This window comes from Homo sapiens, chromosome 1 (assembly GCF_000001405.40).
Source record: "Homo sapiens chromosome 1, GRCh38.p14 Primary Assembly".
Taxonomy (NCBI): domain Eukaryota; kingdom Metazoa; phylum Chordata; class Mammalia; order Primates; family Hominidae; genus Homo; species Homo sapiens.
The window spans coordinates 84,262,019-84,288,992 of record NC_000001.11 but is presented as its reverse complement, the minus strand read 5'-3'; the positions used below and the strand labels follow the sequence as shown (position 1 = coordinate 84,288,992).

The following is a 26,974-nucleotide window of genomic DNA, read 5'->3' as shown; positions in this document are numbered from 1 at the left end:
TCTCTCACACGGCTGCAATCAAGGTAATGGACAGGGCTCTTCTCTCCTGAAGGCTAGATTTGGGGAGGATCTGCTTTCTTACCTATATGGTTGGAGGCAGGATTTGGTTCCTTATGGGCTGCTCAACTGAAGTCCTCAGTTTTTGTCACATGGGCTTCTCCATAGGGTAGCTCACAACATGGCAGCTGGCTTTATCAAAACAAGTGATATGTGGGGAAAAGTCAGAGTAAGAGTGTAAGCAAGACAGAAGTCCTAGCCTTCTATAGCCCAACTTCAGAAGGGAAATCCTATCACTTTTGCCACATTCTTTTTGGTAAGGGCAAGTCATTAGGTCTAGACTAACACAAAGGCATGAATGCCAGGAAGTGGGGACAATTGGGAGCTGTTTAAGAAGGCTACCTGCCACACTCTAGCAATTGGGGAGTTGTAAAGTCTGTTTTAAATAATATGCTTACATTTTTATTTTTCAATTAACTTTAGAAATGCAATGATGATGAAATGATGAAATCAGTCTACTTAACTTCTCTCTTTTCTCTTCCCACCTCTTAGTTTGGAAAGCAAATATGATTCTTGTTCCAGTCTATTGTCATCAAAATATTATGATTTATATTATGTATTTTTTTAGTATTAAAACAACTATATTTAATTTTATGACTTAAAATGCCAATTACTTAAATATGTGTAGTAGACTTAAAGCTCACGGCTTAACCTTTTGTACATCATGACTTTCTCATTCATGAATTTTATTTTATGGTTACTTATCTGTTTATTGTCTTAATTTTTTTTCCTGACAGATTTTTCAGAGGTGCATAAATGCTATTTTTCTTGAATTCTTGCATATTTGAGAATTTATTTCTGTCATGATTACACATGAAGGTGGTTAGACCAGATAAGTATCGGGGGAACCAGCCCCCAATATTTCAATGTAGGTTCTTTTCTATTTTCCCTAAGTGTCGGCCGGTCTAAGAAATAAAGGGAAAGAGCACAAAAGAGAGAAATTTTAAAGCTGGGTGTCCGGGGGTTACATCACAGGTCATCAGGTTCCGTGATGCCCCCAAGCCAAAAAACCAGCAAGTTTTTATTATGGATTTCAAAAGGGGAGCGGGGTACAAATAGAGTATGGGTCACAGAGATCACATGCTTCAAGGGCAATAAAATATCACAAGGCAAATGGGGGCAGAGTGAGATCACAGGACCAGGGAGAAATTAGAATTGCTGATGAAGTTTCATGTCCCACTGGGCACGCATTGTCATTGATAACATCTTATCAGGAGACAAGTTTTGAGAGCAGACAACTGGTCTGACTAAAATTTACTAGGCAGGAATTTCCTAATCCTAATAAGCCTGAGGGCACTGCAGGAGACCGGGGCTTATTTCATCCCTTATCTACAACTGTATAAGACAGACACTCCCAGAGTGGCCATTTTAGAGACCTCCCCCTAGGAATGCATTCTCTTTCTCAGAGCTGTTCCTTGCTGAGAGAAAGAATTCAGACATATTTCTCCTATTCACTTTTGTAAGAAGAGAAATATGACTCTGTTCTGTCTGGCCCAGCAGGCAGTCAGGCCCAGTGGTTATCTCCCTTGTTCCCTGAAAATCGCAGCCATGCTGGTCCTTTTGGATGCCCAGATTTCATATTGTTCAAACACACATGCTCTACAAACAATTTGTGCAGATAACGCAATCATCACAGGATCCTGAGGCGACATACATCCTCAGTTTACGAAGATGACAGCATTAAGAGATTAAAATAAAGACAGGCCTAGGAAATTATAAGAGTATTGACTGGGGAAGTGATAAATGTCCAAGAAATCTTCACAATTTATGTTCAGCGATTGCAGTAAAGACAGGCATAAGAAATTATAAAAGTATTAATTTGGAGAATGAATAAATGTCCATGAAATCTTCACAGTTTATGTTCTTCTGCCATGGCTTCAGCTGGTCCCTTCATTCAGGGTCCCTGACTTCCTGCAACAGATATGGAATGTTTTTTCTTCCTATGTTTGTTAGCCATTGCTCCATTTTCTTCTAACATTTAACATTGCTTAGAATATGCCTGATTCCTTTGTTTATGAAGATGACCTTTTTCCTTCTGCCTAGATGACTATAGGATTCTATTTCTTTTAGTCCTTAAAGTTCTAGAAAGAAAGCTTTTATTAAATTTGATTGGAATATGGTGAGCCTTTTCAAAATTCAATTTGAAAACTTACTTTAGTTCATAACATTCTTCTATTGTGTAATTTTTCATTTCCATTTGCTCATTCACATCTTCAAAGATAAAAGTCACTCATGTTTTAGTTCTCCATTGTCCATGGTCTACAACTTTCATCTTCTTTCTGATCACCTTCATTCCATGTCATTTTCCACCAAATTCCATGTGATTATTTTCTTCAATAGCTTCCTCTTCATGTCCAATTTTCTGCCGTTTAAATTCTCTTCCTTGGTACTTTTAATGTGATTTTCAGTTATTTAATTTCTTCTCATTTGATTCCTCTGCTTTTCTAGATTTCTCTTATTTTTACTGTTGCATGGGTTCTGTGATTTTTTTTTTCTAGATTAAAAAAAAAAACTACCTAAACTCTTTGAAGGAAGTCGATGAGATCTAGTTGATTTGCTTAAGAATAAAGGGAGTGATTTTCCTGCTTTTCCCTCTGTTTACCTGAGTAGTGTTTGAATCATCCACTTATAATGTAAGCTGGAGCACTAATGTTGATGGCTTATAATGTTTGGTTAGTCACTCAGTGATGGATGAGCTGGGTCAGGAGGAAAATTTGCTATGAATGAGGAAGAGACTCAGGAAGAGATTCATACTTTTTTTTTTTCCTACTTATTACCCACTTTTTTCCACAAAGCATTGGGAGGGAATTGTAATAATATAAAAAGCAATTTAAAAAACTAACATCAGAAAGAAAATACCAACACAAGAGGAGAAGAAAAAAATGAAGATATGTAGCTGTAGCATCCTACAAAGTTATTAAAATTAACTTACAGTGAGATGTTTAAGCTTCCTGACAACCAAATCAAGAAGAAACGTGTAATTAGATATATGATTCTCATTGACTCTAAAAGAAAACCTAACAGTTATTCAGGGGGAAAAATTTAACACTTACTTCTAAAAAAAAATCAAATTAGGCATGATTCTTAGTGAATTTTATTTAGTGAATTCAATAGTTCCATTCATTAAGTCATTTCTTCTTGCTCTGCTTGGTAAAAGGTGAAAACATGGCATCAAAACACAGCCCAGAGAAAGTCAATTCCTGTATTTCTAAGACAGTAGGATCCAGGCTTATTTGGAAGATAAAATATCTCTGGAAGAACAGATAGTGTTAATGGATTGAATCATTTTCCTCAAAAAGATATAACCCCCAGAACCTCAGAACGTGACCTTATTTGGAAATAGAGTCATAACATATGTAATTAGTTAAAATTAGTCCATATTGGAGTAGGGTGGACACTAATCCAGCAAGACTGGTGTCCTTGTAAAAAAGGAGAGATAAATAAAAGAATGCCATGTGAAGACAGAGAGACACAGAGGGAAGACAGAAGCAGGAATTGAAGTTGTGCTGCCACAAGGAAAGGAAGACCAGGGGCTACAAGAAGCTGGAAGAGGCAAGGAGAGATCTTCCTCGAGAAGCTTCAGAGGGAGTGCTGCCCTGCCAGCCCCTTTATTTCAGAATTCTGGCCTTCAGACTGGGAGAGAATAAATTTCTGTTGTTTTAAGCCACCCAGTTTGTGGTACTTTATTACAGCAGCCTTAGGAAACTAATACAGATAAACTGCATTTCAGTCAACAATGTTTTATAAATGTTAGCTCTCTCAATCAAGATTTGGTATGTGCTGGACAGTAGAAAGTTTGATAAGTGACTAAAGTAAGTTTTATGTGCTGATATTGAGGATAGATCCATATGCTTTAAATTTTAAACCTGCAAATATTGCTAAGGTTGACATCCTTGAGAACATTGGGACACCTGAGGTTCACACTTGGGCTGTTAGTCATCACACTACATGTGGGGAAGGGCCAAGTGTATACTTTAAAACAAGTCCAGGGTTATTGCTGCTGCTTCTTCTTCCTCTTCTTCTTCTTCTTCTTCCTCTTCTTCCTCCTCCTCCTCTTCCTCCTCCTCCTTCTTCTTCTTCTGACTTCTTCTCCTTCTTCTCCTTCCCCTCCTTCCCCTCCTTCTTCTTCTTCTTTCTTTTCTTCTTCCTCAGTGTGGGATCTGTTTTATCATATGTAATAAATGAACATTACTGAGATGATTTAGTTTAGAAAGTTTACAAAATGGGTGATACCTATACTTACTATAAGAATTGGAGTGACATATATTATTAGCTATAAATCGGTTAGAAATGCATGATAATTTTAGGTAGTTGATATGCCAAGATTTATAGCAAAGTATGGATAAGGAAACCGAATTCTCTGTGGAAACCACCGCTAGTCATTGAAAAGTCATCACTGGAATACAGGATATGTCCTGTATTCCATGCCCTCTTAGATTTACAGATTTTTCCAAAAGTTGTCTTCTTTTCTTCCTTCCTTTATTTCTTCCTATCTAGAGGTTTTTATTCCTAGGCAGATGGTATTAAGAAGCAAAATTTGTACAGCCTCATCCCTTTATCCAAAGGTCAAACTTTTGGACATTCTCCAAAATACAGCAGCAGTCTAGAAATATGGAAAGAGGGGCAGGTCTCTGAGCATTAGAAAGAATCATAAACCTTCTGAATTAAAATAATGAAGTTTTTTGTAGAAGGATGACCAGTTGAAGACAAGCTCACTGACAAGGGAAAGATATATTAAACAGCAAATATAAGGTGATATTGGTTTACTTAAAATAGTGGGTATCCTAAAGGAATCAGGCATCTAGGGACAGGGAAGGACCGAGGGATATGTTCCTTATATCCCAAGGTATAAACAATCTGAAATAATAAAAATACAAGTAAAAATATAGAGAGGGGACTTCTCCTACTCTGAAGAACTTAACATGAGTAATAAAATATATAAATCTTTTAAATGCAAGGATAAATTTAAAAGTAAAATATATAATAGAAATATAAATGCAAGGAAGAAGAAAAAGACCATAAAAATGTCTATCATATCTGAAAAAGAACAAAATAGAACTTATAAATAAAAAATAAACAGATTGGAATTAAAAACTCAGTGGAAGAATTAACAGTAGACAAGACCACAGCCGAAGAGAGAATTAGAGAGTGGCAATTATAGACTGGAAGACCTTACACAGAATGCAGCACAAGGAGACAGAAGCTGGAAAATATGACAGAGAGGCTGAGGGACTTGGAGGATAGAGTGAAACGCTTCAATGTCTGTAACCAAAGTTTTTTAAGAGGCAATAACAGAGGAGAGGATGAGGCAATAACTGAAGAGACAATGAATGAGACATTCTTAGAATTGATGAAAGATAACCTCAAATTCCAAAACCCCAAAAGATTCCTAGTAAGACAGATAAATTGAGACACACACACAGAGACACACACACACACACACACACACACATGCACACACACACCCCAAACACATTGTTAGAAAACTTCAGAATGCCAAAGACAAAGATGACATTAAAATTAACTGAAGAGAAAATAAAATTACCAATAAAGGAATGGAAATTAGATAGTTGACTTCTCAGCAACAAAAACATAAGAAGACAGAAGATTGTGGGAAAATATTTTTAATGTATTGAGAGAGTAACTCTCAAATAGAATTATTTACCCATTAAAATTATTGGTCACAATATGTTACATTATGCTTTGGTAAAAAATTAACTCTGAAACCTCTGTGGCCTCTCACATCAATCAACAATTAACTCTGAAACATTTCAAGTTACACATCCAGCATGGGTTGTATGGAGCTCTGCTCACACCATTACTAGGGACTCAGGCTGAGAGAGTGCTGCCCTCTGTAACTCCAACATCCAGGGCTGTAGGGACATGTGAGATCACTGCAGAAGGGAAAGGGGATGCGCAGGAGCACAGGTCCCAGCTGTCTTTGTCTAGTAGTGAAACCTATCACTTCTAGTCATAGTTCATTGGCCAGAATAAGTCACAAGGTCCCAAACTAACTGCAAGGGAGAGTGGGAAATATAATCACATGGATATTCAGTAATACTGACTTTCTCTGCCACAACTATTTTTCAACATGGGGATGAAATAGAGGCTGTTTAGATAAACACTTAAAAAGTTTAACATTAAAAAACTCTTAATAATGGAACTTCTTAGCATGTCTTCAAGCAGAAGGAAAATGATCTGAAAAGGAAAGTCTGAGATACAAAAAACACACTGAGTAAAGTAAAAGACAAACTGTTGGGTAAACATACTGCTGGTGAAAACCATATAAATAAATAATGAAGCGTAACTTGTGGGGTTCAGAAATAATAGCTGGTAAAGTGGAAGTGCTGATAGGCATTAAAACATTCTTAGCTCTTTGCATATTTGGGAAGATTATAAAGATTGTAAATGTAGAGTTTGTTAGGTTTAAGTATCCATGTTCTGATTTCAAAGGAACTGCTTAACAGAAGAGAAGTAAAGCCTATACCTTCAAAACTAGAGGGGGAAAGTTGGGACTTAAGAAATTTAATCTGCCGGGCGGCGCGGTGTCTCACACCCGTAGTCCCAGCACTTTGAGAGGCCAAGGTGGGCGGATCACCTGAGGTCAAGAGTTCAAGACCAGCCTGGCCAACATTGTGAAGCCGCATCTCTATTAAAAATACAAAAAAAGTTAGCCGGGTATTATGGTGACGGGCGTGCCTCTAGTCCCAGTTACTCGGGAGGCTGAAACAGGAGAATTGTTTGAATCCAGGGGGCGGAGGTTGCAATGAGTCAAGATCACGCCATTGCACCCTAGCCTGGACGACAAGAGAGAAACTCCATTTCGAAAAAAAAAAGAAAAAATTAATTTAATCAATTGAAAAGAGGCAAGAAGGAGAAAAAAGAAACAGGAAAGCCAGAAAAAATAGAAAGTTAAAAAACTGATGACAGGAGTAAATTTATCAATGAAATAAACCCAGTTGAAAGGGAAGCTGTGAGATTGGATTAAAAAAAACAAAATCTATTGGATAAAAGAAACAAAATCTATGTTTGTGCTTTCTATAAGAGACATACCTAAGACATTGAGAAAGAATAGTTGAAAGTAAAAGAATAGAAAAATATATTTTAAGCAAATATTAAGAAAAAAGAGTTGGAATGTCTATATATATAAAATGTAAAATAGATTTTATGGCAAAAAAACCTTATGATAGACAAAAGAGATTATTTAATAATGATAAGAGGTTTAACTCCCCAGGTGGAAAAAATTCTAAAGTTTAAAACTTGATAACCTAACTTCAATAAGATAAAGGGGAATTTGACATACTTACAAGGAGATACTGTTGAATTCTCCACTATTGTGAGTCATTAAATATATATATCTCAATAATTGATAGGTAAAATGGAACTAAAGCATTAAGGATATGATTAATTTAAGCAATACAGAAAGCTAATCTACTGAACATATATATTTCTACACTCCAAATTAAGGTATACAAATTAGTTTTGGTTATGCAAGAAACACTACAATAATTTATCATGAATTAGGCTATAAATCAAGTCTCAACCACTTTTAAGAAACTCATCTTAAACACATTATATTTTTGACCACAATTCAATTAATAAAGATATCTTTAGCTAAAAGGTTATGTTTTAAAAATTTAGAAAATTCAGAAACTTTTGAATAACTCATCAATCAAGGAGTAAATCATAATGCAAAATAGAAAATGTTTAGGATCAAACAATAATAAAATCCACTTTACCAACTTCACTAAAACAAATGGTTAAAAGAGGCTTGGAGGGAATTTTAAGTCATAAATGCTTATACTAGAAACTGAGAAAGGCTGAATATTGCTGAGCTAAGCATTCATGAGAAATTATTTTACAAAATAGAATTAATTTAAAGAGAGCAGAAGAAAGAAAATAATAAGGATAAGCCTAGAAATTAATGTAATAGAAAAAAGTATAAAATAAAAAAGATCAACAATGCCAAAATTAAGGTTTTTGAAGAAGTGAGTAAAATTCATTGATCTGGCCTGGTTGAACTAAAAGAAAGGAGAAAGAGGAAGGAGGAAGAGGAGGAAGAAGAAGACAAAGATGACAACAAAAATGTTAGGAATTAAAAAAATTCAGAGAAGTAAAAAAATGGTAAACTAGTACAAACAACTTGGTATCACATTTGAAGATTTAGACAAAATGGTCAAATTATTAGAAAAAAAAGTAAGTTACCAAAACAAACTCGGGAAGAAATAGAAATTCAGAGTCATTGTAAAGTCCTTAAAGAAATTGGTTCACCAACTTTAAAATCTTACACAAAGACCTGGCCCAGATGACTTTATAGGTGACTATTAATAAACACCTAAAAAACATAATTCCAATGTAAGGCACGCTTTCAAAAACTTGAAACAAGGAAAAACACCCCAATAAAAAATATAATGGCCTCATTCCATGGAAAAAATATGTATTATATATAGCACACTATAGAAGGATGATACAAGAGGTAAAAAATGACAAACCAACTTCACTCATGAATGTAGAAGCAAAACTCTGCAAAAAAGTATAAAAATGTAATCCAGCAATGCACAGAAGATAACATATTATGATTAAATACATTATTTAAACAAATTGAGTTTACTCTCGGAACACAGGACGGTCTAACTTTAGAAAATCAAATGGATACAATTTGCTAAATTACAGATTAATAGAGAACAAACACATGCTAATATGAATGGTTGCAGATAAATTATTCTATACAACTTATTTTTTATCCACGTTAAAACAAGCAAACAAAAACTCTTAGGCAACTATGTAAATTAAAGCAAAGGAAGGATAAACACATAATTTAGCAGGGTGGTTTGCCTGAGGAGGCAGGCTATACAGATTGTGGGGCATACATAGGAAGCTTCTGTGACACTGGCATTTGCTTACCACACAAGGCTTTTCATGTTCTGGCCCCTCACCATCCCTCTAGTGTCACATCCATCCAAACCTTTAAACCCATTCTTTATTTCCATTTGTATGGATCTTCCAAAACCACACGTAATGGCACTTCACACCTCCATGCCTTAGTACACGTTGCTTTCTCTTGGCCAGAAATGCTCTTCCTCCCCTCCCCGTTTAGCCAAATCCTACTCATCCTTCAAATTCTGGAACTTCATTTTACACCTTCGCTAAATATTGATTTAGAAACCTTCCCTTCTTCTGTAACATCCCATGCTTTCTTATGTCGTGGCACTAATTGCACTACACCAAAACCTTCAGTTAGGTCTCCTCCTCTAGTAGTCTTTCATAATAGTAATGTGTTACTTATTGAGCATTCCAGGGAATTTACTTACATTATTTCTAATCCCCAATACAACTGTCAAAAGTACCTATCTTCAGCTACAATTTTAAGCTGAGGAAACTGAGGCTTAGAAAGTGAAGCAATAAGTCCATGGCCCTGTAATTATAATGGCAGCATTACACTCGCATCTGTTTCTATAATGTCTTATTGACTCTGTCTCTTCACCACCAAGCACAGTGCCTGAGAGTTTCCTGGTTAGATGGATGTGGATGGATGCATGGTCTGGGTTGAAATAGATCCTAGTTTAGAAGACAAAAAAAAAAGCCAAATTTGAAGTCAGATGAAGACTTGTGCTCAAGTTCTGCCTCTACCTCTAGCTGCTAGGATAGGAGAGTTTCCAAACAGTTGAGCATGTTCAGATGTGATTAGTATGGCAAGTAGGCTTCCTGGGTTGGGGACGACTTTGTCACTACAGTCTGCAGATCAACAGAGAGGATAGAAAGAGAGTCTGAACTCAGAGGCAAGGCACCTGTTGGTACAAGTTTTCTTTGCGGAAGAGCTATGTTGTCGCGCAATATTTATCTTAGATCCTTAGACGGTAAGATAATGATTTGCTATCTGTGTGTGCAGCTGTTACTAGAGAGATTGATTTGGGACTTGGTCTCAGTGCCGATTGCATACACATTGCCTGCCCTTTGGTTTGTGTCCAAGGCTTCTGTTTTCTGAAAATAGTACCTGATTCTGCCTCTGACGCAGTCCCTTTCTCCTCATATTCCCTCTGGTACATTAGTTCTAAGAAAATCAACTCATCTCTGATTGTTTGCTACATGCCTTTTTTTGTGTGTGTGAAATTTGTGAGTTATTACCAAGATATTTAAACTTTCTTTTATTAATTCCTGGAAGTTGGTGTCATGTGAATCAGTGGAAAGATACACACTTTCTTGTTGCCTCTCTAATGATTTACAAAGTCCTGAGGCATCCTTTACTCTGAATCTTTAAATAATGTAACATAATTCATCAAAACTATCCCCTTGGAATCCATTCCATTGCCATTTGGGGTGGGCTTCTGCCTCTGGATTAGCCTTCTTTTTTTTTTCTTTGAGATGGAGTTTCACTCTTGTTGCCCAGGCTGGAATGCAATGGTGTGATTTTGGCTCACTGCTCCCTAGGTTCAAACGATTCTCCTGCCTCAGCCTCCCAGGTAGCTGAGATTACAAGCGCCTGCCACCACACCCGGCTAATTTTTTGTATTTTTAGTACAGGTGGGGTTTCACCATGTTGGCCAGGCTGGTCTCAAACTCCAGACCTCAGGTGATCCACCGGCCTTGGTCTCCCAAAGTGCTGGGATTACAGGCGTGAACCACTGCGCCCGGCCTGGATTAGCCTTCTTAACTTACATTGACTTGCTAAACCCCTCTTTGCTTCCTCTCCAGGCACTCCTCTCCTTTAATATCTCCCTTTTAAGTGACTGTTTAATGGGGCTTTTCTGCAGCCCACATAACTGGAAGTGGTGATGCTGCACATTCTGAGCACCTGCTAAGCCTCCCTCTAAATTCTAGACAGTTGATGCCAAGTCTCCATTCAGTACCTTGAGTAGGATTCTGCACTCCTCACCCCTAGACTGTGAGGATTCAACATGAATGATTGCTTTTTTAACCCTTTTTGTATTTTTATTGACTGGTTAGACTTTGGGCATTTAATTCCCTGTGATGCAAACTCTCTCAGTTGTACATACTTAAGTCTGTCCATATCTCACTGAATTACTGACTCAGTCAATATAGTTTTGGTTGGCTTAACCATGGAACCTGTTCTGTTTGCTATCTCTAACTATCTTTTCTCCCTAACAAGGAAACCAGGAAGTTGGGGGCAGGCAAGTATCTGGTACATTCAGTGACTAACTTTCTTCTCTTTCCTTTTTTAATTTAGTATTTTATTATGAAAGTAATACATGCTCATCATCAGTAAATGGTTCAGAATTGGGGGATTTCCCAATCCCATCTCCTGCCAGCAGTGTGTTAAGTATTCTTCCAGTTGTTCTCTAGTCATTTACTAAAAACAAAATAAGATGAAATAAAATAAGGCAACATAAAAATCACACAAAACACACTGTATACACAAATAGAATACTACCAAAAACACTATTGCGTAATTTGACCTTTTTCATTTAATAATTATTGTGATCATTTTCTATATCAGTATATTTGTCCATTTTTTTTTCCAGATGTTTATTTCTAATGAATTGGACATTACATTTCCAAAGTTATAAGATGGCCAACAGACCATGAAAAGACAATTATTTAGTCTCCTGCTTGAAACCAACAGCTTCAGCAAACTGCTGGCCTTGAATCAGGACCAACCATTCTTTTTAATACATACGGAATACTTTTACTAGAACATTCTGGCTTCAAGGTATAGCAACCCAACTCATATACTACTTTAAGCAAAAAAGATAATTTATTGGTTCACAAGAGTAGGAGGAAGAGATGTGGGGTTGACCTTGGAAGGTATCAGTCCAGGGAGCCAGTGGTGTCATGGGGATGCCCTTTCTTTCCATTTCCAGATTGGTACTAATGATTTGTTTGGTTTCCTTCTTTTCTACAGCAAAGCATACTTATTTCATGCAATAGGGACAGAGGGTCACTCCTGCTGATATCTTCTTTTGCATCATCTCACATCTACCTACCTACTGGTTGGATGATCCTAAGCTAATTACCTCACTCCTCTAAACTGCAGCTGTCACATAAGCAGGTATTCTTGGGCTCTCTCTCCTTAGCTCTTTCTTGTGGTCCAGCCAGAATCGTGCCAGGTGTGGAAACTGGAAGTCTAGAAAGAAAAGTTTCCCACTGCTCTGATGCAGGTCCTCCTCCTGGGTGAGGAAAACAACAACATCCTTGAACCTAGGGCAGCACCTTGGTGTCCATCTCCTCTTGCCTGTGCCTGGTCTTGGGATATTGGTGCTGGGCCTTCATTTTATTGGGTGCACCTTTGAGAGTAGATGAAGAGCTACCAAATTATAAATCCCTGATTGGGTGTCTCTCTTAATAATGAACAGCTTAGGAACCCTTCTACCTTGTTTCTGGGGCCAAGGCTACTCTTCTCACAGGAGTTTCCAGAGTTATGTTTCATTCTTATAAAATTATGCTTCAGAAGCCATAATACATGGGTGCCCACTGGTGAGGATTTCTTAAGATAAAGATCCTGGGCTCTACCCCTTGAGACTGAATCAGTAGGTCTGGGGTAAGGCCCAGAATTTATACTTTAAAAAAGTAACACACCAACTTTCAGTTCCAGTCTGGCATGTAAGAAGCTTGGAAGTTGTCACTCAGCCCTAACAACAAGTAAAAAGCTGAATAAACCAGGCACAGCGACTCTCATCTGTAATCCCAGCACTTGGGGAGGTTGAGGCGGTTCCAATCACTTGAGCCCAGGAGTTCAAGACAAGCCTGGGAAACATGGTGAAACCCCATCTCTACAAAAAAATACAAAAATTAGCCTGGTATGGTGGCGCACACCTGTAGTCACAGCAACTTCGGAGGCTGAAGTGGAAGGATCACTTGAGCCCAGGAGTTGGAAGTTACAGTGAGCCATGATAGTGCCACTGCACTCCAGCCTGGGTGAGAGGGTAAGACTCTGCAACAACTCTTTTTAGATCTCTAAGAGAGGTTAGATTATAGGGCAAACTGCTGTCCCCCAAATTGGAGAGACCAACAGGGGAATACAGAGAATCACAACTCTGTGAGCAGGAAACCATGAGTAGTAACCTCTGCAGCAACCGGTGCCCATGTAGGAAAATCTTAACTGTAATTGATGAATTGCTGGAGGCTGAGTGTGGGCAAGTCAAAAACTCCAGGGGGACTCAGTCATTAGGAGACCCCCACATTTTTGTGTTTTACCTTTAGAAGCTCTACCACACCCCCACAGTGAATATTGGAGAAAAATCCTGTCATGCTTCTGCCAGGGGAAGGGGAAAAGAACTATTTAAAAATACACCAGAACACTCTGTTCTTCTGAACGTGGTCTGCTCTTAGGAGGAACTGCTTAGCCAGAGCCTAAACTTCAGGGGTTTTACCAACGCCTAACTGACCTGGAAGAAGGGAAATACCCAATTCTAAGTAAACTAGGAATAGAGGGAAATTTCCTCAACTTGATAAAGAATATCTGAAAAAAACAAAAACAAAAACAAAAAAAACCCAAACACCCTACAGTTAACATCATACTTAATGATGAGAAACTTGAAGCTTTCCCATAAAACCAGGAGCAAGGCAAAATGTTTCCTCTCTCCACTGCTTCTGAAGAGCAGATGAAAAATTCTAGATAATACAGCAAGAAAGAAAAAAGAAATAAAAGCTACAGATTGGGAGGGAAATAACAAAACTGTCTTTGTTTGCAGATGACATGATTGTCTATGAAGAAAACCTGAAAAAAATTGGCAGAAAAGTCTCCTGGAGCTAATAAGTAATTATAGGAAGGTTGAGGAATACTAGGTTAATATACAAAAGTCAATTGTTCTCCAATATACCAGTGTCTTAGTCTGTTTTATGCTTCTACAACAGAATACCCAAGACTAGGTAATTTATAAAGAACAGAAATTTATTTCTTACAGTTCTGGAGGCTGAGAAGTCCAAGGTTGAGGGGCTTACATCTGGTGAGGTCCTTCATGTTGTGTCATCCCACGGTTGAAGGCAGAAGGGCAAGAGAGCATGTATATAGAAGGAAAAGGAAGGAGAGGGCAGGGGGGAGGGAAGGAAGAGGAGGTGGGAGGGAAGGAGGGAGGCGGAGGGAAAGGGAGGGGAGGGGAGCCAAATTCATTGTTTTATTAGGAACCCTAACCCACAAGAAGCATGAATCCATTCATTAGAACAGAGCCCTTCATGTCCTAATCACCTCTTATAGATCCCACCTCTCAGCACTGTTGCAATGGGGATTAAATTTCTCTTCATAATATATTCAATCCATGACAACCAGCAATGAACAAATGAAATTTGAAATAAAAAAAAGTATTTCCCCAAAATAAAATATGTATAAATCTACCAAAATAAATACAAGATCCATGTGAGAAACACTGAAAAACTTTAATGAAAGATATCAAAGAGGAACTAAACAAATGGAAAAATACTACGTGTTCGTGGATGGGAAGATTCAATGTTGTCAAGATGTCAGCTGTTGCCAACTTGATCTATAGATTCAGTGTAATCAAAATTAAAATCCCAGCGAGCCATTTTGTGGAGATTAACAGGTTGATTCTAAAGTTCATCTGCAGAGACAAAAGACCCAGAAGTGCCAACACAACATTGAAGAAGAATAAAGTTGGAGGACTGACACTATCTGACTTCAATAGTTAATATAAAGCTATAGTCATCTAGACAGTGTGGTATTGGTAAAAGAATAGACAAATAGATCAGTGGAACAGAATAGAGAGCTCAGAGATAAACCCTGCAGATAGTGTATGTCAAAGGAGCAAAGGCAATACAATGGAACAAAGAGTCTTCAACAAATGATCCCAGAACAACTGGACATCACATACACACAAAAAATGAGTAAGACACGACCCTTACTTTCTTCACAGAAATTAACTCAAAATGGATCGCAGACCTAAATGTAAAATGTAAAACTGTAACACTCCTAGAATGTAATGAGACAGGAGAAAATCTAGATGAGTATGGGTATAGTGATGACTCTTTAGATACAACACCAAAGACATAATCCATGAAAGAAATAATTGATAAACCAGACTTCACTAAAATTAAAAAACTTCTGCTTTACAAAAGACAATGTCAAGATAATGAGAAGATAATCCAAAGACTGGGAGAAAATATTTGCAAAAGACACTTCTGATAATGGACTGTTTTCCAAAATACAAAAAAAACAAAAAACAAAAAACAAAAGAAAACCTCTTAAAACTCAGCAATAAGAAAACAAACAACCCAATTAAAAAAATGGGCCAAAGATCTTAACAGACACCTTACTAAAGAAGATATGCACATGGCAAATAAGCATATGAAGAGATGTTCCATATCATATGTCATCAGGGCAATGCAAATTAAAGCAACAATGAAGTACCACTACATACATATTAGACTGGTCCAAATCTGGAACACTGACAACACCAATTGGTGGTAAGGATGTGGAGCAACAGCAACTCTCATTCATTGCTGGTGGGAATGCAAATTATACAGCCACTTTGGAAGATAGTTTTGTAGTTTCTTACAAAATAAACATTCTCTTACTATATAATCCAGCAATCATGCTCTTTTGGTATTATGTCTACACATAAACACGCATATGGATGTTTATGGCAGCTTTATTCAAAATTGCTAACACTTGGAAGCAACTGAGATGTCCTTCGGTAGGTGAATGGATAAATAAACTGTGGTACATCCAGACAAGGGAATATTATTCAGCACTAAAAAGAAATGAGCTATCACATCATGAAAAGACATGGAGGAAACTTACATGTATATTATTAAGCGAAAGAAGCCAGTCTGAAAAGGCTACATACTGTAGGGTTCCAAGTATCTGAGATCCCGAAAAAGGTAGAACTACTGAGACAGTAAAATGATCAGTGGTTGCCAGGGCTTAAGAGGAAAAGGGAGATGAATAGGTGGAGCACAGAGGATTTTTAGAGCAGTAAAACTATTCTATATGATACTATAATGGTGGATACAGGTCATTATGAATTTGTTCAGACTCAGAGAATGTACAACACAAAGTGAACCCTAATGCAAACTATAGTCTTTGGGTGATAATACTGTGTCAATATAGTTTCGTCAATTGTAACAAATGTACCACTGTGGTGAAGATGTTAAAATTGGGGGATGTTGAAAATGCCTGTGTCAGCACTGGGAATATATGAGAAATCTCTACCTTCTGCTCAGTTTTGTTGCAAACCTAAAACTGCTCTAAAAAAATAAAATCTACTTTTTTAAAAAAAGCAGCACACCTGATTTTATAACTAACCAGGTTGGGAAGGGCAAACATATAAATCTTCTGGATAGTCCTCTTTGTTTAACTTCACCTTTCTAAAGAGCAGCAGCTGGGTAGGTGTTGGCTGCTTTTCCTGCTATGTAAATGACAGGCCCTGGCCAGGAATGCTTAACAGACAGGTGTGTCCCAGCCTCTCCCCTACTTTTACCCGTCAGTTGTTTTTATTCCTAGGCTAGGTCTAAGGTGGAAAGCTTTTCCTAAGTAGGGGGTTGTGTTGGTCTTAAGGCTTATCTAACTTGGACATAGCCTCTTTAAGGAAAAAAAAATCAATGTATGAATATAAAATTAAGTACAAAGGCCCTCAGAAGAGGTCTGTAAAAATGAGGATTCTAAAGCTTAAGCTTTATTACTTTCACAGCAGATTTACCTCTGTACAACTTTCTCATTTTGGAGCAAATCAAAAGACTCTGTTTTACAAATTGTCTATGTTTTCAATATATATTAGTTAAACTGAATTTTTGAAATAAAAAGAAGAAAAAACCCCCATAGAAATGGATCATTTTGGCTGAGAACTGCAAAAACTCTGGGCACAAACACGTTATTCACCCTCTCTTGAGAGACTTAGCCATACTTTAGCATGGCTTTTAGCAGCCTGAGCCTTGTCTCTGGGAAGACTCAAACACTTTTTGAGTTCCTCTCCGGAAGAGTTCAGTCCCTAACCTCCCTTTCTTGCAGCATTTACTAAAAAGGGCTGACAATTGTGAATCTTTCCTCTGTCCCTTCCAGATGTGTATGCATCTCCTGCAACTCAGGAGTGTCTTTCTCAAGGACTTGAAAGCCATTCCTTTGAAATATAATCCTCAGGAAGGTTAGGGCCTCTGTCTCAGTCTCTGTGGGAGGATAGCAGCCTAACTTCAATAACTGCCAGCAAGCATTCACAGTTGGCTTAACTGTATTTGCATTGACCAACCTTTTGTAATTTTTCACTTCCCTGATTCCACTGAGCCTCCGCTCACGCCTCTCCTACTCTCTCATTCTCCTTTAAAAACACCCAGTCACCTCTGTGCAAATCTGAATGGAGCTCAGCCCTTTCCCTTGTTGTCGGTAGCTACTGAACAAAATCAGTTTTCACTGTTTTAACTAACATCTGGGTTTGTTTATCTTTTACATGACCCGGAAGAGTCTGAGGCTGAGTTCTTAACCACAGCCCAGTGGCACAGGCTTCGTTTGTGGGTGACTTTACTCATTATCCCCTGTATACTCTGAATTTGTAGAAAGAGCAACATAATCCCTTTATAAACACCTTCCCATCACCTTTCTGACCCTGTCTCCTACCACTTTGCTCCTTGCTTGCTCCTCTGCAACTATGCTGGCTTCCTTGTCCTTCCTGGAACAGACCTGGCACGTTCTTGCCTCTGCATTTTGCAGAGAAGTATATATGGGCTTGGAAAATTTAAATGTTGTGACCAAGTGATTAAAACCTGAGAAACGCTTCATAATGTTTTTTCCCACTGGCTTCATTCTCAACACCCCACTTCCTCTCATGATCTATTCAGTCAGTCAGGAGACCCTGTTGGCTCCACCTTTGAAATGTGTTCTGAGTTCCACCACTTGTCCCACCTCCACTGTTGCAATGAAGGTGGGACCACTACCACTTCTTGCCTGCATGACTACTGGAGCCTCCCATCTTGTCTCCCTGCTTCTTCCCTTGTCCCTGTAGTCTATCTCAACACAGCAACCAACACGGTCCTTTTAAAATACAAGTTAGGGCCGGGCGCGGTGGCTCACGCCTGTAATCCCAGCACTTTGGGAGGCCGAGGCGGGCGGATCACGAGGTCAGGAGATCGAGACCATCCTGGCTAACACGGTGAAACCCCGTCTCTACTAAAAATACAAAAAAATTAGCCGGGCGTGTGGCTGGGACTCCTGAGTAGTCCCAGCTACTCAGGAGGCTGAGGCAGGAGAATGGCGTGAACCCGGGAGGCGGAGCTTGCAGTGAGCCGAGATCGCGCCACTGCACTCCAGCCTGGGCGACAGAGCGAGACTCCATCTCAAAAAAAAGAAAACAAGTTAGATCATGTTGCTACTCTGCTCAAAACCCTCTGATTGCTTTGTGTTTCCTCCAAGGCAAAAAAACTTTGAAAGGCCTTACAAAAGCCCATCAAGCTCTACAGTAATGCTGTCCAAGGCAGTCACAACAGGCCACATGTGGCTATAGAGCACATGAGATGGGGCCAGTTGGAATTGAGATGCAAAATACACACCGGACTTTGAAAACTTAGTTTGAAATAATGTAAAATAAGTAAGAATGTAAAATATCTCATTAATAATTTTCATAGTAATTATACATGGAAATTATAATATTTTTGGTACATTGGATAAATAAAATATATTATTAAAATCAATTTTACTTGTTTCTTTTTACTTTTTTACTGTGGCTACTAGAAAATTAAAAGTTACATATCTGGTTCATGTTTGTGGCTTGAATTATATTTCCATTGGACAGAGCTGGTCTATAGTAACTGATCCCTCCCTAAAACCGCTCCTGATCTTATCTCCTGCTCACTTCTGTTGCTGCCACATTGGCCTCCTTGCCATTCCTTGAGCATCCAAGCACACGAGACATGCTCCTACCTCAGGGCCTTCACACTTGCTATTTCCACTCCTAGAAAACCTTCCCCTGTTATCTGGATGTTTCTTCATCTTCCCTAGACTTTATTCAAACTTTACCTTCTCAGTGATACCTTCCTGAGAGCCTACTGAAAACTGAATTCCTCACCCACCTCCACTCTCATATCCACTACCCCTTTCCCTGTTTTACTGTTCTCCATAACATTGTCACCATGTAACATACTGTATATCTTTCTTATTTATTTTATTTATTGTCTAACTTCCCCTGTAGAATCCACCAGGCAGGGAGTTTTGTTTAAAGTTGTGCTCCCGAAATCTAGAACTGTACCTGGTAGGTAGTAGATGTTCAATAACTTTGTGGAATGAATTACTGAATGAATCTTAATCAACCACTTCATTATACAGGTGAAGGAACTGAGAATAAGTGGCTTTCCCAGGGTCTCACAGCTTTTTTAGGGGCAGAGTGGTTGTACCCTCCGTAAGATCAGATGCCACCGTCTAGAACCCAGCCCTTTACCTATATTTGAATTTCTTTACTGGACTCTGTGCACATTTTTATGTCTCTTTTAAACTTTGCACTCAAGGAAATAGACTTACTCTAGAAATAATCTACTCAGTCACACCCAGGGGATGACCTCCAACATTCTTTCTTGCTCCAAGGATATGCCTTTGATATTTTTTTTCCCTAGGCAGGAATTCTGGGTCTGTCTGGATCACAGGAAACTAATTATTTCACCAGGGAAAAAAATTTGCTTGAAGGAAGCCATTACATTTGATTGTATAATAAATAAAATATTTAAACTATAGCCTGAAGGATTTAAATAGTTCATTTATTTGACAAAAAGACACATTTTTATTGAGCACTTTGGCATGTTGATATATGCCAGGCATTGCTTTAGGTGCTGGGAATGAACAGAGAGATGTGACAGTCTCTCAGGAGCGAACAGTCTAGTGTGTATGTGAGGGGAAGGAGGGTAAGCAAACAATTACAGGGTGCATTAGTTTCCTATTGCTGCTGTGACAAATTACCACAAGCTTAGTGGCTTAAAACAATGCATATTTATTCTCTTACAGTTCTGGAAGTTAGAAGTCCAAAATGGATCTTATTCTGCTAAAAATCAAGGTGTCAGGAGTCTGTCCCTTACGGAAGCATTATGGGAGCATCTGTTTTCTTGTCCTTTTCAGCTTCTAGAGGCTGCCTGTATTCTTGGCTCATAGCCCTTCCTCCATCATTAAAGGACATCTCTTCAATCTCTGCTTCCATCCTCACTGGCCTTCCACTCTCACTCTGACTCCTCCTGGGTCACTCAAGATCTTTGACTTAAATGTATATAGCTATATATTTTTTAATATATTTATTTATATTTAATATATTTTCATGATCTATATTTTAATTGACAGAAAATAATTATCTATATTTCTGAGGTACAATGTGATGTTTTGATATATGTATACATTGTGGAATGATTGTATCAAGCTAATTAACATATCCATCATTTCACACATAATCATGCATTGCTTAACAAGTGGGATACATTCTGAGAAATGGTATGGCCTATTGCTCCTAGGCTACAAACCTGTTCAGCTGGTTACTGTACTGAATATTGCAGGCAGTTGTAACACAAGCTAGGTATTTATATGTCTAAACATATGTAAACATAGAAAAGGTATAGTAAAAATACAGTATTATAATCTTATGGGACCACAGTCATCCATCGTGGGCTGAAACATTGTGTGTGTGGATGACTGTGCTTATTCTTTTTGTGTAATGAGAACATTTAAAATCCATTCTTTTAGCAATTTTGAAATATACAACTTATGACTATTAACCATAGCCACACTGCTGTGCAATAAATTCAAGATCCTTAACTTAATCACATCTACAAATTCCCTTTTGTCACTTAAAGGAACTTTACCATTCACAGGTTTGGGGATTAGCATGTGGATATTTTGGTGGGGGTAGGGGGGTGGGTGGGCGGCATTACTCCATCACAAGACAATGTGACAAGTGCTACAGTTGAGGTAAATATTAGATGCTATGTAAACAAAAATGACAGATCAGAGAGGATATTGAGGAGAAGCAAGGTAGTTTTGTAGAGCAAGTGGCTGCTCAGCTGAGGCTTGCATGGTGCAGTGAATGGTACCATTCTTAAAGGAATACACGAAAAAAATGAAGTGTAAATGAAGATGAGATTTGCATTCATTGTCTATTGCTAGGTCACAGATTACTGCCCAAACTTAGCAGCTTAAAACAATAAATGTTTAAGAGTTCATCATTTCTGAGGGTCATCAATCTTAACCATCTGATCCTGCCCTATGGTCAATCATGAGATTGCAGCCAAGTTGTTGGCTGGGGCTGCAGTCATCTGAAGGGGCTGAAGAAGCAGTATCTAAGCTCACTCATGTGACTGCTGCAGAAGGCTTCAGTGCCTCACCACATGGGCCTCTCCATAAAGTTGCTTATAGGACACAGCATGGCATTTGGCTTCCCAGAGAGTGAGTAATTGAAGAGAAAGAATCAAAGACAGAAGCCACAGTTATTTATAACCTAATCTCAGAACTGACATATCCTCACTTCTGCCATGCTGTTGGTCATACAGACCAACCCTGGTACAATATGGAGGTGGGAGAGGACCACAAAAAGGGTGAACTCCAGGAGCAGGGATCACTAGGGCCATCTTGGAGTCTGGCTACCACAGTATTCTTGGGATTACAAACAGTTTCCCATTATTGACATGTAGGCAACCAGGAAAGATTGGTGGGGGTGAGGTTGGTGGGGGTGACGTTGGTAGGGGTGAGGTTGGCATGGGAAGGAAGGGCTAGAGCATGTGGAGCCTGTACACTTGCCCAAGAGTTTGTAGATAATTATTTTCTTGATAGGGAGGGATTGCAGGGGCTTAGTCACGGTAGTAACATGACCAAGTTGCTTTTTAGAATGATCACTGCAGTAAGAGTGTATGGAAGGAGGTGGTGCAGAAGGCAAAGAGATTAGAGAGAAAGAACCACTAAGAAGCTATTGCAATAGTGCAGGAGAGAGAAGAAGAGAGTCCTGATATAAGGCAGTAGTGGTCAAGGAGTGGTGAGGATGATGGCTTTAGGGCACATTCAGGAGGTGGAATGGTTCATGGTTCAGGAGGGAGAGTTAGGGAGGCCATAGGGCGCTCTGAAGTTGCTTGTTTGCAGGAGGGATTGGTAACATTAAATGAATATAGAAAGAAGGGCAAGGTCCACATGAGGTGAACAAAAGTTAAGATGCCTAATTTGAATACATTGTGCCTATAGGGCATTCAGGAATAGAGATAACTAATGAGTAGTTTGAGTGAAATAAATTTAGTTTAGACTAACTACAGCAAGAGCTTCTCAGCATTTGTCAAGAGACTCTGTGCACTTGGGCCAGAGAAGAGCTCTTCTCGCTGTGTTAGTGTGATATCAGAGCCTAAGCTGAACAGCATTTTCTAGACACCATCTTTATGTTTTTATTATCCTTGTAACTACCATTGATTAAGTGTCTGCTGCATAGCGCACTCTGTGCTTCACACATTGCATGCCCTTTCATTTCATTTCATCTTCCCACTAACCCAGTGAGTCGTGTAATGTTATTTCTTTTTTACAGGGGCAGAAACTGAAGAAGGTTCTACTGCTAGCCCCATTTTACAGATGAGAAAGCAGGCTTACTTCATGTCAATAACATTGCTCAGGGCTATACAGGGAATCAGTATGCAGCTCTCAGGTCTAGATCTTCCTACTCTAGACCAAGCTTGTCCAACCTGCAGCCTGTGGGCCACATGCAGCCCAGGACAGCTTTGAATGTGGCCCAGCACACATTTGTAAACTTTCTTAAAATGTTATATTTTTTGCAATTTGTTTTCTTAGCTCATCAGCTATCATTAGTGTTAGTGTATTTTACGTGTGGCCCAAGACAATTTTTCTTCCACTGTGGCCCAAGGAAGCCAAAAGTTTGGAAACGCCTGCCTAGATCCTATTCCTTTAATTGAGCAGCCACCTATCGTATGCTTTATAGAATTAGAGAAACTTTCCAGCATGGTTTGGGTGGAGTGATGGTTTATGATCTGATGTGTGAGAGATAGCAAATAGAAAGCAGGAACAAGGTCATGAATCCACATATGCAGTGGTGTGAAAAAAGGGTCAAATGCCCTCTTGCTGGTAAATATAGATGTCTACATATTGGCAATGTTTTCAGTGTTTTTCCTAAAACTCTCTTCTTGTTTTTGCTATTTCTGAAGAAATGTGAGGAAATGCTTTCATTCACTTAAAAAATTAGCAAATTGTTCATTTTCTTGTCACAGAAAAATGCCAGCATCTTGCATTAGCAAGATGGCTTTTGAAGCTTAAGATTGATGCAAAGGGAGTTTTACCGCAGCAGCATTTTTCACTAGAAGGGATAAAAGGGAGGGGAGAGATGAAAGATGTCGACAGATCCTGTCTTTTTTTTTAGGGAAGGTTCCCACAACAGCAGATAGACTGGTCTAGAAATAGCTACCCGTCATTACTATATATATATATATATATATATATATATATATATATATATATACACACCTCTATTTCTTAAAAAAGTTCCCATATCCGAGGTTCTACTGTGGAATTTAAGAGACGATAAAGGGAATAATAGTCATGCACGCTTCATAAATGGCTCCCAGATTATTCACTGTCCTAAAGAAGATGCAGGCTCTGGACTGCAGACTTCCTGTAGGTCAGAGTATGAAAGCACAGGGTCCCACTGAGGCAAGAGCAGCTTTACAGCTTCTCTGCAGTTGTCTAGAATTTCCCAGAGAAAGCAAAAGATGAGGCTAAATGTAGACTTTCACCTTGAAAAGCTGTAAAGGTAATAAAAACAGGGCATAGTGGGTTGGTTTGCAAGACTCCCACTTCACATTTTATGTGCGTTTCCAAGCAACAGAGCTTCCTAAAACTAGAGAAGTGAGGACGTGAGTGATGAGCACAGTAGGCTCAGCCACTGGCTGCACCAGATAACTTTGGACACAAGAGAACTCCTTGCTTCATCTCTGTCCATTGTGGAGTCAGCTCCATCCCTGACTCACTCCTCCTGCCCACCATCCTTCCTCCTCATCTCCACCCCACTATCCTCAGAGCCTTGGGAATCCCTGCACATATTAGCTGTCTAATCAGTACTCATTTTGTTTCTTTCTTTTATTTTTTTTAGACAGAGTCTCACTCTGTCGCCCAGGCTGGAGTGCAGTGGCGCGACCTCGCCTCACTTGAATCCAGGTTCAAGTGATTCTCCTCCCGAGTAGCTGGGATTACAAGCACGCACCACCATGCCCAGCTGTTTTTGTATTTTTAGTAGAGGCAGGGTTTCACCATGTTGGCCAGGCTGGTCTCGAACTCCTGACCTCGGGTGATCCACCCACCTCCGTCTCCCAAAGTGCTTTACAGGCGTGAGCCACCGCGCCTGGCCCAATCGGTACTCATTTTCTGGCTTTCACTGATATCTTTCTATGTTGATTTATCCAGGAACCATCTAATGTTTCCTTAGGTATTTGTTGATTAGGTAAATGAAGCAGCTCAGTATTTGGGGGAGTCCTAAGTTTGGGATGAGGCGTTATTCAACTTTTGGGACACAACTCTTCCTATTGCATGTATCCTGTGGGCCATAACAGAATTTCTGGTTCTGGCTTTACGTTTCAAGGCATTAGCACTTCATTAAAGTTAACTTAAAAAATGCATCGACTGAGTTTTCTTTCTCAACTAATTTTAACACATAATGTTTTTTATTTCTTTAACTTTTCCATTCAGTGAAATGCACATTAAATGAAAGAAATAAAATTATGAAACTTCTGTAGTCTAGGCTTATAATTAATAAGATGCTTAGGTGCCTGTCAATATACTTGTTTGTAGTAACATCACAAAAACATATTATACAACTTCCTGCAAATGGGCTAAGGATAGCAAAGACTGTGGAAAAACTGCCTAACTGGAAATGAATCTTCGTCGCAGGAGGCCCACAATAATAAAGTCAAATGATGAATATATGAAGATTTATATGACATGCCAGCACATTATTACCACATATTCTATTAATTAATAGTTAGCCATAAGAAATCAGCTCAGGGGTAGAAGGAAGTCAGTTTGTGGACAAATTCAGCCTTCAGTCTGAAATTCTTCCACTGCCATAATCACTGAAACCTTCAAGGTTCTGAATGGCCAGCACCTACTAAACGTTAGGATTAGCTCCTTAGCAAATATTGGTTTGACAAGACCTTCGGAATAATTTTCTATTTGCACAACTTGTCCAACTTTTCTGTAATTGTCTTTTTAATTCTACTATTTTTAACTTTGCTTGTGAAGAAGTCATTTTATGATATTAGTGAAATGGATATTGTCTGAGAGGTTTTCAGATAACTGAATTTCCTAAGTGTATTTCAGAGTGGAATCTGTGATGTGTCTGGAATTCGCCCCCTTGTTAGGGACATCTCTGGCCCAGGGAGAGGAAGCACCCCACACCCACGGATGGCAGGATACTCAGGCTGGTGCTCTGTGATTCTGAGGTCCACGTAGAAGCAGCCATAGGAACCCCAGCACCTCATTTGGACTCTACTTCCTCTAGTTTAACTCTTATCTTCTCCCTCCAATTTATCATTTCATTAGTTCTTCCCATTTAGTAACTCTATTCCAACTAATAGACTTCTTCCTTCTTCCTTATCCTTTTACCTTCTTCCATATCCCTTGCCTGTTTGTCTCCTATTCTTTTATCTGATGCTTCTTTCAGACACCGTTCTTGGTAACTGACGTGTCCTGCTTAGTCCAAGACCGCTCCTGCAATATGCCCCTGCGAGCACTGCTGCAGTGGGCTCCTGGCCCTGTTGCTGTGAGGCCCACCTCTGTGTTTCAGGGAGATCTCAGCCAGCTCCTGGGTTTCTTGCTCTGGTTGGAGGAATTTCTGGCTCTCCAGGTGACCTGGGTCCCAAGTGAGACATAGCATGTATGATAAGTGGAGTTCTACCTGAGCAGCGAGGCCCAAACAAAGCACCCCCATGGAGGAGGGTGTTCCCTGCTCAGAAAATATGAGGTCTTACCTGTCTATATCTGTGTGCTATACCTGTGATCCAGATGTTATGATGTACCGCATGGATGCAAGGATATACAGTGTGGTCCAGGTGTGCACCCGGCCAGTTACCAGTCCTCTGAGCCTTGTGGGGGAGCCCACATCCCCAGAAATAACATTGAAGTCTCAAGCTTTGTCATGTGTATTCCCCTTTACTGCACAGGTCTTTTCTTTTTCCTTTTTTTGGCAGAGTCTCACTCTGTCGCCCAGGCTGCAGTGCAGTGGCACGATCTCAGCTCACTGCAACCTCTGCCTCCCAGGTTCAAGTGATTCTCCTGCCTCAGCCTCCGGAGTAGCTGGGATTACAGGCGTGTGTCACAATACCTGGCTAATTTTTGTATTTTAGTAGAGATGGTGTTCTCCATGTTGAACTCCTGAGCTCAGGTGATCCACCTACCTTGGCCTCCCAAAGTGCTGGGATTACAGGCACGAGCCACTGTCTCTGGCCTGCACAGGTCCTTTTAATCCTTCTGGGATTTGACTGCTTATGGGTGGAATTGTAATCTATTCTTGGATAACATAGTAATCTACTGCTTAGATGTGGGCTCATGTGAGCCCTTGTTCATATGCCTCCTTTGTTGTCATGGAAACAACATTGTCAAACCCAATGTCACTGCATAGTCCTATTCTATCTTTTTCAAGAAAAAAAAGGGAAAGTCAATTATTTATTATTATAAAATATACGCCACATAAAATTTACCATTTTCACCATTTTTAAGTATACATTTCACATTATTGTGCAACCATCACCACCATCCACCTCCAGAACTTTTTCGTCTTCCCAAACTGAAACTCCGAGACCACTAAACAACAACTCTTCATGCTCCCCTCCTACCCCACAGCAAACACCATTCCACTTTCTGTCTCTATGATTTTCACCTCATAGAAGTGGAATCACATAAGATTTGCCTCTTATAATTGGCTCATTTCATTTGGTATAATGTCTTCAAGGTTCATCCACGATGTGACATGTATCAGAATTTTCTTCTTTTTTAAGGCTGGATAATATCCATTGT

General features: G+C 39.2%; 1 non-coding gene across 1 annotated transcript, besides 2 other annotated features; it reads right to left on the bottom strand.

The window, feature by feature from the left end:
- Nucleotides 1,260–1,460: a silencer, noted in NCBI's record as "peak299 fragment used in MPRA reporter construct". NCBI's record gives its function as "represses an SCP1 promoter by STARR-seq MPRAs in K562 erythroleukemia cells {active_cell/tissue: K562}" and the evidence as "EXISTENCE:reporter gene assay evidence [ECO:0000049][PMID:32103011]".
- LOC124904808 (small nucleolar RNA SNORA2/SNORA34 family) lies at nt 11,536–11,672 on the bottom strand. Its single transcript, XR_007067394.1, has one exon. It is a non-coding gene; the product is annotated as a small nucleolar RNA SNORA2/SNORA34 family (small nucleolar RNA).
- Nucleotides 17,337–17,426: an enhancer, noted in NCBI's record as "active region_1248". NCBI's record gives its function as "activates an Ori minimal core promoter by ATAC-STARR-seq in GM12878 lymphoblastoid cells {active_cell/tissue: GM12878}" and the evidence as "EXISTENCE:reporter gene assay evidence [ECO:0000049][PMID:35858748]".